This window comes from Homo sapiens, chromosome 2 (assembly GCF_000001405.40).
Source record: "Homo sapiens chromosome 2, GRCh38.p14 Primary Assembly".
In the NCBI taxonomy this organism is placed as follows: Eukaryota; Metazoa; Chordata; class Mammalia; order Primates; family Hominidae; genus Homo; species Homo sapiens.
In genome coordinates, this window is record NC_000002.12 from 232,066,388 (window position 1) to 232,079,414 (window position 13,027).

General features: G+C 40.0%; 1 protein-coding gene across 5 annotated transcripts in view, besides 1 other annotated feature; it reads left to right on the forward strand.

Moving 5' to 3' along the window:
* The window catches only part of DIS3L2 (DIS3 like 3'-5' exoribonuclease 2), a 382,638-nt gene that overhangs the window by 104,675 nt on the left and 264,936 nt on the right, over positions 1-13,027 (forward strand). The gene's annotated exons all lie outside the window — the stretch shown is intronic.
* Positions 9,079-9,279: a silencer, noted in NCBI's record as "peak4085 fragment used in MPRA reporter construct". NCBI's record gives its function as "represses an SCP1 promoter by STARR-seq MPRAs in K562 erythroleukemia cells {active_cell/tissue: K562}" and the evidence as "EXISTENCE:reporter gene assay evidence [ECO:0000049][PMID:32103011]".

Here is a 13,027-nt window from a genome sequence, read left to right on the forward strand (position 1 = left end):
TTTCTTTTTCCTGTTAACATGTTGAATTACAGGGATTGATTTTAAAATGTTAAATTAGGTTTTTATTCATTGGTTTGGTTTGCTAATAATTTGTTGACAGATCTAACATGTGTCCTCATCAGGATTATTAACTTGTGACTTACTGGTATTATTATGTCTTTGGTTTTGGTATCAGGGTAATAATACTGGTCTCATAAAGTGAGTTGGGAAATGTTTCCTCTTCCCCTATATTTTGAGAGAGTATGATAGGGTTGGTATTTCCTTTTTAAGTATTTGATAAAATTTACTAGTGAAGGCATATGGGCTTAGAGTATTCTTTTCTAGTGGGTTTTTAATTACAGTTTAAATTTCTTTATTGATATAGAGTGTGATGGTTTTAAACATGACCCAACATTTTTTTTGACATTCCTATTATTGATAACAGATACTAAAGGCTTTTAAATTTTTCTGTTTCTTCTTGTATCTGTCTTGGTAATTTGTTTCATTTAGGGGACTTATTCATTTCATCTAATTTGTAGACTGTATCGGCATAAAGCTGTTCATAATATTCTTTTACTGTCCTTTTAATGTCTGTAAGATTTTTAATGATTGCCCCTCTTTAATTTCTGAAATATTATTGGTAATCATGTGCCTTATTTTTCTTTTTTCTTTATCATTCTAGTGGAAGATTTTATCAATCTTTTCATGTAATAACTTTTGGTTGCATTCATTTTCTCTAGTTTTTGGTCTGATTTTCTATTTCATTGATTTTCTCTCTTAAATTTACTGTATCTTTCCTTCCACTTATTTTGGGTTAAATTAGCTTCTTATACTTCCCACCTCCAGACTTTTGAAGGTGAAGCTTGGCTAATTGATTTAGTCCCTTTTTCCCATTAGAAGCACTTAGAGCTATATCATTTTCTCTAGACGCTACTTTACATGCATTGCACACATGTTAGCGTGTTGTATTTTTATTATTCAGTTCAAAATAAGTTAAAGTTTTCTTTGTATTTTTTTCTTTGACCCATTCTTTATTTTCAGGTGTATAGGTGAATATTCAAATACTTAGGAACTTTTCTAGAATATCATACTACTATTCATTTCTAATTTAATTGTGTTATAGTCAGAGGGCATACTCTGCAAGATATCAAGCTCTTGAAACCTACAGAAATTCATGTGGCTCAGCATATGGTCTATTGTGGTAAACATTCTCTGTGCACTTGAACTTATATCTGCAGTTGTTCAGTGTTATGCTCTGTAAAGGCCACTTAGGTTACAGCTGCTTGCATTGTTCAGGGCTTCTGTTTCCTTACTGGTTTTTGTCTTACTTTATTTAATTGTGAAAATATCTATGATTGGGGATTTGTTTATGTCTCCTTTTACTTTTGTCAGTTTTTGCTTTATGTGGTTTAAAGCTTTTTTATTAGGTGCATATACATTTGTAATCATTATATTTTACTAATACAGTGCCGCTTATCAACATAAAGTGTTCCTCTTTTTCCCTGGTAATGCCTTTTTTCTTGAATCACTGTGTCTAATATTAATATGGGAATGTTTTCAAAGATGGGAGGTAATAGAGAACATTTGTGTGCTGATATGAGAAAGATTTACCATAGAGAGGGAGAGGCAATGAGATGGGGAGAGAAGGATTATCCAAGGAGCAAAACCCTCAGAGCAAGAAGTAGTATTCAGAGCATGTGCTGGGATTGGTCTTTTGCAAAAGAAGTGAATCACTTCATCTGTATTTGCACTGCAGAAGAAGGCAAGGATGATTATAGACATAAGTAGATTTTTAGAGTTGGCTATACGTGAAATCTATATATTTTAGATTTTTAAAATCTAGCAATATGTACTTTACAGTATGCCAGAAACCACTGATCAAAGAAATGTGGTTTCAGTTTTTGTCATCAATATATGAGGGTGGGCCAAGTGCAGTGGCTCACAACTGTAAGCCCAGCACTTTGGGAGGCCAAGGCAGGAGGATCGCTTGAGCCCAGGAGTCCAAGACCAGCCTAGGCAGCAAAGTGAGACCCTATTGCTACTAAAAAAAAAAAAAAAAAATACAAAAGTTAGCTGGGCGTGATGGCATGCAATAGTCCCAGCTACTTGGGAAGCTGAGGCGGGAGGATCACTTGTACCTGGGAGGTTGGGGGTACAATGAGCCATGATTGTGTCACTGCACTCCAGCCTGGGTGACAGGGTGAGACCCTGCCTCAAAAAAAAAAAGTTATATGTATATATATTTATATGAGGGTGGTAATTAAAGTGTTGGCTGATCTTTCAGATAATTGTGGTTAATTTCTTAATACTAAATTGATCCTTTGGAATATCCTCAGGCTCCGGAATTATGGCTGTTATATCACTGTCCTGAATCTCCCTTGTCCTGAAATTTTTTTTATTATATACTGTTTGATTTTCTGAAATGGTCTGCAAATTGAGCTTATTTTTAATTTTAATTTTAATTTTTTTCTTGAGACAGTCTCACTCTGTCAGTCAGGCTGGAGTGCAGTGGCGATCTCGGCTCACTGCAACCTTTGCCTCCCGGGTTCAGGTGATTCTCATGCCTCAGCCACTCGAGTACCTGGGATTACAGGCATGTACCACCATGCCTGACTAATTTTTATATTTGTATTAGAGACAGGGTTTCACCATATTGGCCAGGCTAGTCTCAATCTCCTGGCCTCAAGTGATCTGCCCGCCTCAGCCTCCCAAAGTGCTGGGATTACATGCGTGAGCCACCGAGTCTGGCCTGAGCTTATTTTTTAGTGAGGTCCAGGATATTTAAGTGTGTTTCTAAGATGAAATCTGAGGTAAGGGACTGCAGCTAAGTCTCTCCACACATAAAATCTTTAAATATAGATGATCTTTATTTGACAAGTTGTTTAACCTTTACAGGTTATTTTCTTTCCTGAATGATGTTATATCTCTGCTTTGATTCTCTATCAAAAATTGTTGTGATTCTAAAAGGGGAATAATCTTTCATTCTGGCAAGCAGTTGGAAATTATACCCATAGAAGTAGGCTTCTGTGTATTGTTTTATCAGTGTAGTGTTCTATGAATAAAAATACAGAGACTTGTCTTTTAAAATGATCCTACTTGAGCATTTCTAAGGAAGCTTCAACTTTATTCTTTACTAGTGTTGAAAAATTGGCCATATTCCTCAGATACAGGGATAATCAGTGTAGTTCACTTCCTTGCTGTGGTGATAGATGGAGGAATGGGCATGTGACCCAAATCAACCCCAGCAGACCCAGCCTTGGGACTTATTTGCAGAGTCTCTCATTAAGAGCTTATCGGGTTTTGTTTTTGTTTTAATTTTTTACTGGGATCTCTAAGAGGATGGAATGTAATTCTGGAGCTACTGGTATCCTTGCATCCTTCATCCTTCTCTATGAGGAGAGAAGCTGTCCTGATAATGGAGCAATATTGAGGAAGGCTGAGTTGAGACACATACACACATACACACAGGCACATACACACATCTGTGCACACACTGTCCCACAGATATCATCTGAGCCTCTCAATTTGATCAGTTTGTCTCAATTACATAAGCTAATAAGTTACTTTAAAAATGACAGCCAGTTCAAGTTGGTTTTTCTGTCTCTAGTAGCTAATAGAGGCAGTACTAATACATTGACTATGTTTTAGAGACTTAAGTCAAAATACAGTAAAGAGTATGAGTCAAAGAAAAGCAACCACCCATGTACAAGGTATATCTATATACATGTATATATGTTCATCCACTAAATTTCAATAATTATTCCTCCTGTGAACTCTGTTCAAGTAGAAATCCAGTCCTTCTATCTCTGTTAGAAATTCTTTCGTAGGGGCGGAGGTTGCAGTGAGCCAAGATCGTGCCACTGCACGCCAGCCTGGGCAACAGAGGTGAGATTCCGTCTCAAAGAAAAGAAAAGAAAAAGAAAAATTCTTTCCTAGGGCTTGCTTTTCTAGTTTACCCAGATTTACTTCCTGCCTTTTTGTTTGTTTGTTTTTTTCCTGTTTCTGAGCTTTAGAACTTGGTGTGATATTCTGTCAAATTGCCTAATGCTCTCTGTTTATTTCTGGCATCAAAAATATTTATCACCTTGCTACTGAGAGAACTCTAGTTGGATCCTGCTGTGTTCTATGAACTGGGTCTCCTCTGGGAAGTATGCCTGCTTCTCACTCTTCGTTAGTGATTCAGTAAGGAGGCTTGCTTGTACCGGAGTTAGGTTATGGTTCTTTTTTTTTTTTTTTGAGATGGAGTCTCACTCTGTCGCCCAGGCTGGAGTGCAGTGGCGCCATCTCCAGTCACTGCAACCTTCACCTCCCGGGTTCAAGTGATTCTCCTGTCTCAGCCTCCCTAGTAGCTGGGACTACAGGCGCGTACCACCACACCCAGCTAACGTTTGTATTTTTAGTAGAGACAGGGTTTCACCATGTTGGCCAGGATGGTCTCGATCTCTTGACCTTGTGATCTGCCCCCCTCGGCCTCCCAAAGTGTGGAATTACAGGCGTGAGCCACTGCGCCCAGCCAGGTTATGGTTCTTTAGTTGATTGTGGTGGCCATGCAGGAGAGGAGAGAGGGCACATGTTACAGAACACTTCTAATTCTGATTCAAACATGGGAACAGTGTCCAGAGGCCCTATAGCCTGACCCTTAGATCTCTGAACTCTTCTTCTCCTGCAGTCCAAGCCAGGTCTGCATAGAGGAGGGCTCCTTAACGGGTGCTGATTATTTCTCCAAATCTATTTTTCTTTTTTTTCTTAAAAGAGTTAAAACATAATTCAGCCATTTTTAAAGGGAGTTAATATAGTTTTCTGTACTGTATCACAAAGAATCAGAAAGAGAGAGACAGATCCTGCTGTTCTGAGTTGTTAGAGACCTATTCTTGGCTCGCTGTGGTGGCTCTTGCCTATAATCCCAGCACTTTGGGAGGCTGAGGCAGGAGGATCTTGAGAACCCAGGAGTTCTAGACCAGCCTGGGCAACATAGTGACCCTGTCTCTACAAAAAATAAAGAAAAGGTAGCCAGGCATGTTGGTGTATGCTGGTAGTCCCAGCTGTTCGGGAGGCTGAGGTGGGAGGATAGCTTGAGCCTGGGAGGTCGAGGCTGCAGTGAGCTGTGATCACACTAGTGCACTCCACCCTGGGCAACAGAGTGAGACCCTGTCTCAAAAAAAAGAAAAAAAAAAAAGAAACCTGTTATTGAGCTGGTGGGATTTAACCCAAGACAGAGTTTGCAGTGGTCTGTGAATGGTGTATAATGGAAGGAAATGGCAGATAAGATTAAAATAACTGAAAAAGGTCAGTGGACATTGAGAAAGTCAAGGTCTTGTAAGCCAAAGAATAGAGAAGTAGTTTCTCTTTTTAAAATAGAGACGAGGTCTCACTATGTTGCCCAGGTTGGTCTCAAACTCCTGGGCTCAAGCAGTCCTCCACCTTGGCCTCCCAAAATGCTGGGATTATAGACATGAGCCACTGTACCTGGCTGATAAGTAGTTTCTCTAGGAAAGAGAAACCCATGGGAATGTTTTTGAATAAGAGGATAATCAGAATTTTTATTTCTGGAGATTTGTAGGGTGGTGTCACTTAGAAGACCAGGGAATTTGTGGAGCTCTAAGATTGCTTGTAAAAAGGTAAGTGAAGGATTTGGTGACTGGTATGTTAAGCAGTGGGAAGAGTCAAATGTAGTTGCAAGGTTTTCAGCTTGAGTGGCCTGGAAGAAGTAGTAGTGGTGTTTGAAGAAAGAGAAGAACAGGAAAGGGAAATGCTTTGAGGGGAAGGACCAGAGTGCTTTTGATGTTTTGAGTTTCAGGTGGCAGTGGCCTTCATGGAGTTTGTGTTGCACTGGGAAAGATATAATAATATTAAATAAAATACTACATGTAGCATACTCAATGGTGATATGTGCTGAAGAGAAAAAAAATAAGGAAAGGAAATATGATTTTGGGGGATAAGGATTGAGATTTTAAATAGGGTGATGAAAGAAGACCTCATTGAGAGCATGACTTTGGGAAGAAACAAAGGAAGAGAGGAAGCTGTCCTTATGGAGATCTTGGGGAATGGCAGTGCGTTCCTAGTGTGCTCAAGGAATAGCAAAGGGGCTGAGGTAGAGAATTGTCAGAGACGAGGTCGGAGGGATCCGGGGTGGGGGTGCAGTCAGGTAGAGCCTTTACATCATAGGTAGGATTCTGTTTCTGGCTCTGATTGAAGTGGTAAGGCTTAGAGTGGTAGGAGTAGAGAACTGACATATCACTTATGTTTCATAGGCTCACTCTGTTATGTTGGGAATAGACTGAAAGGAGGCAAGGGTAGAAGCAGGGAGACCCCTTACATGGCTATTGCTTACTTCCAGGATGGAGATGATGGAGACTAAACCAGGATGGTGGCAATGAAGGTAGAGCTGACAAGATCAGCTGACAGTTGGGATGTGGGGTGTGTGTGTGTGTGTGTGTGTGTGTGTGTGTGTGTTGCTGTGTGTTTGAGAGAAGGGGAGGTTGAGGTGGGGTGGGGAAGGAAGTCGAATGATTGATTGATAAGGACTGCACAGGGATTTTGGGCTGAGTAATTGGAAGAATGGAGAGAGATTGTTCATTCTTTGGCTGTTAACTAGATAAAAGGTACGTTTGGATTAGCTACCCTAAGCAAACGAAGTTCCCAACAAATACGCCCTTGAAAATGTCTGTAAATATGTCTTTTAAATGATAGTGCCCATAGTTAAATTTTATAATGAAAAGCTTATTGGCAAGCCTTGTCAAGAGCTCCCTGTGGAAATATCAGTTGCTTTTCTTGGCTTCAAGGTGTTTCCTGAACAGTGTATTATCCTTTGTCCCGAGTGTGCCATTAAGGGATTTGAAAGTTTGTTAAAACATGTGTGGCAAGTGAGTGCTGTCATTTAAGCCTAGCCAGGGAAGCCAAGAAATGAAAAGCAGCTCTTTGCTGGACTTCCTGACATGCTTTAGCTCTGAATCCGAGGCTCAGGTAGTGGGGTGGACAGGGCATTATTTCCTGTGCACAAAGTGTCAGTGGACACAGTTCTCAAGCCATTTCCGCGGAAAATGTCTGTGGACATGGGTATATGTGAATCTTTTGGAAAAACTCCATAATACCAAGTTGATAGCAACCCCCTGCCTAAGGAGAATGTAATAGGGTTTATTTGCTGCAACAGAATTTTCCAGTGCTAATATGGACTTGCTCTTTTTATAAGATTTAAAACAGCACTCTTTAATGATGGTCTTTGAGCTCGAGGAAAGGTTTTTTCTATATCAGTAAACAGGGAAGCTATGAAATGTTTCATGCTTGGAGTTCGGGTGAGCCAGCATAATGGAAAGGTTACCTGGCACTTTTATTTAGGATTCCATTAGAATTTTTTGGTTACAGGGACTTTTTCTGTTTGCTTTTCAATTTTGAAATACGGTATATTGATTTTAAAAGGAAGGGAAGAAAAACCTAATGCACATCAAACAGTTTTGAAGTGACCAGTTTCTTCTCTAGATCCTGGTAGGTTTGAATTGCTGTTTGCAACTGATCTAACTTACTACACAGCGTAGACGAGATTTCCAGCTTTCTGAGTGACAGATTGCTACTTCACAACTCTGGAAAGATCAGGAAATGTCCCTCTGAGGTGTTGCCAGATCTAGGCTTTCTTTCCTTCATCTGGACATTTGTGACTTTTCTTGCTAAGACACTTCTTTTCAAGTTGGGGAGCAGTTAACTTTATGGTTATATTTGCATTTATATTGAAAACTGGAGTTATAATTTAGATATAAAGGCATAGAATTATTTTAGAAAAATGAATTTATTTCAGTGCCTCCCAATTTTATTCATTTGCATTTATTTATCTTGTATCTCTTACAGTGATAAGTTTCAATTTTGATGAAATAATTGTTGACTATTTCCTGGTTTCCAGACACATTGTGTTAATGGAGGACATTGCTGTATCATGAAGTATCTTATGGACATGCATTTTAATTTAGCTGGCTCTTGCTGCTTAGTATTTATTTCTCACTATTTTTTGCAAATGCTTCTTTTACAGCTGATTCAAGTCTTTCTCATTCTCTTCAGAAGAAGAGAAAAGAGAATCAATATTTACTGAGCACATTCTATGTGCCATGGATCATGGGAGACTCTCAGAAATATAAAAATGAATGTAATGTGGTTTACTGTCTAGTGGAAGAAAAAATATGCAAACAAATAAATGAAATATAGCCCCATCAAGGAACCTTTTTTTTTTTTTTTTTTTTGCTTTTGAGAAAGGATCTCGCTCTGTTACCCAGGTTCACCACGTGAGCAGTGACACAATCACAGCTCATTGCAGCCTTGACTTCCTGGGTCCCAATGATCCTTCCTCCTCAGCCTCCCGAGTAGCTGGGACCACAGGCGCATGTCACCATGCCTGGCTAATTTTTTATTTTTGGTAGAGACGGAGTTTTGCCGTGTTGCCCAGGCTGGTCTTGAATTCTTGAGCTCAAGTGATCTGCCTGCCTCGGATTCCCAAAGTGCTGAGATTACAGCTTGAGCCACCACACCTGGCCGAGGAACCGTATAGTGAAAGAATGGCTAAGGACTAGCAGTGCTGCAGAGGAAGGCAACAACATTTAGGCAGAGAGAGAGAAGTTAGCAGATAAACATTCACAGAAGAGCTGGGTCTTGAATTTTGATTATTTGCTAGGCCAACAAAAGGTTCAGAGGCATTTCATGCAATGTGTGTCAGGGATGGGAGCTGTATGGGTGAGGTTCACTCTGAATCTCTTTGTTTTCAACTCCTGTGGATGATTTCCTTCAGTGTCCAGGACTAAGAGAATTGCATTTAGAGTCCTAGACCTGTAGGCACATTACAACTCTGCCATTTAGTAGCTGTGAGATTGTGACATGTCTGAAGTCATTTCCTCCTCTGTGAGATGGAGATACTCATTCTCCTGTGCATCACCCAGGGTCATTGGGTGGATCCAATCAGTTAATGTGTATAAAAGCACAGGGACGATTGTGCAATAGAATGTGAAGATTCATAATAAAAACTTCAGTGTTTCTTGTGATTCCCATATCCATAGTTATGTTTAAATTCTCTCTACTTTGCTCACTCCTATTCCTTGTTGAAACCCCATTATTTGAGTCTTCCCCAAGGGCTTTATCCTCAGGTTCTCTTTTCAGTAGACACTTGGCCCTGAGTCACCTTTGCTTAACTGTCAACCCATATTATGGGTAACCCTCTAATCTGATTTCTGTCCTCCAAGACACTTCTAGTCTCCAGACCTACATTTCCAGCTGCCACCTGGATGTTCCTCATCATCTTGCACTTCTCGAGTCATCTGAAGGCTACATTTGTTTCCTTATATGTAACTGCTCCTAATTTTTCTGTTTCTATTGTCTGAGTTCAGGACCTTGCAATTATTTTTGACCCTTCCTTCCCCTTCCCCTTGCTTCAGGTTGTTCTTCAGGATGTAAAGGCTCCCAACTGAGTGTACTGTTATTATTAAATCCTTCACTTTACTTAAGCTCCTACCATGTTCCAGGCACCTGTGCTAAGAGTTTTTCATTTATTATCTTAGTTCCCACAATAGTTTTGTGATATTAGACACTCTTGTCCCCATTTTAAAGATAATGAAATTGAGATTCAAAGAAACTGCTTTTCCAAGGTGGCATTGCAGGTAAGTGCAGAGCCATGACTCAAGCCAGTTGTGTTGTCCCTAGAGTTTGTGCTCTGAATCACTCCACTCTGCTTTCACACTTCACTGACTTGACAGTAAAGTCCCAACTCATTAAGTTGGCATTTAGGGCTCTTGACATCTTGATCTTCCTTTCTCCCTCTTGTTGTATATTTTCACGATTATTTGCCATTCCTAAAGGAGAATTTGCATTTTCTTATCTCTTTGCTTTTCCATATGTTCTTTCTCAGCTTAGATACCTCTTTTTCATGTGTACCTGTCAGAATCCTGAAGGAGACAGGGCAGTGTAGTGGAATAAGCCAGGGCTCCGGAGTCCAGTGGATCTGCTTTCTGCTTTCCCTCATAGTCCTGGTCTCTTCTACAAAGGGCTGGACCAGTTCACATTCACACTAGATATGTACTGCTGTGTGTTCTTGCTAGCATTTGGTATTATCAGAATTTTTGGGTTTTGCCCATCTGTGGGTTTGTAGTGATATCTCATTGTGGCTTTAATTTGCATTTCTCTGACTAATAAGGCAGAGCACCTTTCCATCTTTATTGCTACATGGCATCTCTATTTTGTGAAGTATTTTAAGCCTTTTCTTCCATTTTTCTATTGGATTATTTGTCTTTTATTGATCTATAGTAGTTCTTTATATATTCTGGATATGAGCTCCTCTGTGGCTTGCCTTTTAAAATTTCTTTTATTATATCTTAGAATAAAAAGAAGTTTTAATAGAGTTGAATTTATCATTATTTTTCTTTCGTGGCAGTGTTTTTTATATATATTTAAAACATATTTCCCAACATATTTTCTCACGTTTTCTAAAATTCTGCCAGCTTTTTAGATTACATCTTCCTTAGCTATTTCCCACTCCCAGTATTGCATAGTGTCTCTGACCCGGCAAGTGTTCTTGTCTTTGAAATAGGATGCTACAAGGCATTTTGCCATTCCTCTGCCAACACAAGGCCTGTGTTCCCCTTAAAATGCTGACATCATGCTATACCCAGCCTACTTTTCCAGCAGGGTGTCTCTTCTTCTCCTGTGTCTCTGAACTCAGGATTCTGGGCTTAGTTCTGTTCCTTTAAGTGGAGAGCCTCTCATAGCTGCCCCTCAGTTTCAGCCATCCTTCATGGTTTTTCTGGGTGCCCTCCACCCCTACCCACTGCCCCACCATGGGTCCTGCTGTAGAGGCCAGGTTGCTGTTCTCTGTCTTCCGGAGCATAGGGAATCCTGCCTGATGGAGAAAGCCTTACTTTTTCCTTTCAGCACACTGCCATACCACTCTTAGTGCCCAATTTTACCTTCCAAAAAAAAAAAAAACAGTAGATAGATTACAGATCTGTGCTTGGTAAAACTAACTTCAGGATGTATCTGACACAAGTTTCTGTGTGTGTGTGTTTGGGAGTTGGGGGTGAGGTCAAATAGATTAAAATAAGTATTGTAATGTGCTATTTCTAGAGCATTTTTAGTGGCTGCAAATGCCATTTATTTCTTATCAATACTCCTCAGTTGATATCTGTCTATATTTTCACTGCTTATTTTTATCAGCAGGGTTTTATGTGATGCCCATCCCACCCTGTTCATGGAAAAAGACTGAGAGTGAAAAAGTTCTTTATGATCCAGTGATTTGATTCTCCCACTAATCTGTTTCTGTCCTGTCCTTCAGAGATTAGACTAAATCTCCAAGGGAGAAATAATCCCATTTGCAGCATGCACTCAGGTAATAAGTGCAGTCAGCTGCCCCACCCTTGCAGGTCTATGGAGAAACCAGAAGAATTTAAAAAGTCCTCAGTTAACCATGTCAGTAATATATCTGCTATCCTCAGGGCCCCTTTTTTCACGCTGAGCCCAGAGTTCTCCAAAATATTGGCCAGCCTGAACTGGTATCCTTCAGCACCAGGCCCTTTACTGTACTTTGTTATAGAGTATTTTCTTTCTTTCTTTCTTTTTCTTTCTTTCTCTTTCTTTCTTTCTTTCTTTCTTTCTTTCTTTCTTTCTTTCTTTCTTTCTTTCTTTCTTTCTTTTTCTCTTTCTCTTTCTCTTTCTTTTTTTTTTTTTATTTTTTGAGATGGAGTCTAGCTCTGTCACCCAGGCTGGAGTGCAGTGGCATAATCTTGGCTCACTGCAACCACCACCTCCCGGGTTCAAGTGATTCTCCTGCCTCAGCCTCCTGAGTAGCTGGGACTACAGGCGCGTGCCACTACATCTGGCTAATTTTTGTATTTTTAATAGAGATGGGGTTTTGCCATGTTGGCCAGGCTGGTCTCAAACTCCTGACCTCAGGTCATCCACCCGCCTTGGCCTTCCAAAGTGCTGGGATAATAGGCATGAGCCACCTCGCCCAGCCTAGAGTATTTTCTATCTGCTTGTAGATATGCCCTTCCCCCCCGCCCCGCTCCCCGGGAGGAAGGGTTTACAGCTTTCATCTGATTCTCAGAGGGATCTGCTAACTTTCAAAGTTGAGAACCACTGATTTAGACTTCTTAACTCTTTCAAAGACAACCCCATGGAAGAAAGCCTCTTACTTTACAGAGTCAAGGAAAATTGGGCTACTAGTTTCTAACCCACATACCCTTGTGCTTGAAAACTTTTCTGAAAGCTCTTGCATCTTGATAATCTACTATGTGCATTTTATTGTTCTTCTACCTGTTTATCCATTTATTCATCAAACATTGAGTACTTAATTATGCAAGTTTCTATAGAATACACAAAAATGTGTAGTATACAGTTAGTGAGCAGATAGTCTTAACAGATGAGATAAATCATATGCCTAGATAACAATAATGCAGTAAAGAAATTGAGAAGTGCTGAAGAAGAGGTATAGATAAATTGCTTTGGGACTTCAAAGAAAGAGAAATTATTCTTGTCTGGGCAGGCAGGAGGATAGAGAGGAACTGGGAAGATTATGTGGTGGATTTTGGATTATAGAAAATTCATGCTTTTTGGAGTAGGTCTTAAAAGATGGATAGATTTTAGATATGTGGAGATATTAGATACAGTGTGCCATCTCTGGCTGTTTATTTGAAAGACAATTGAGTACTACTGTGTGCCAGGCCTAGCCATGGGCACTTCATGGAGTTTATCAGGGAAGATAGACTCTGAACAAATCATTTCCTAATTAATTGTCATATTTGTTGATTCTGTTAGCATGTATTTCAGTGGCTACTAAATGCTGCTCTCAACTCAGAATACAGCAGTGAATAGAATAGATACCTCTATGTTCATGAAACCTATATTCTAGTTGGGGAAACAGAAAGTAAATAAGGAGATATATACTTTCAGATAGTGGTAAGTGCAAATGAAAATAAAGCTGGATAAGGCCAGGCGCAGTGGCTCACACCTGTAATCCCAGCACTTTGGGAGGCTGAGGCGGGCAGATCACAAGGTCACCAGATCAAGACTATCCTGGCTAACATGG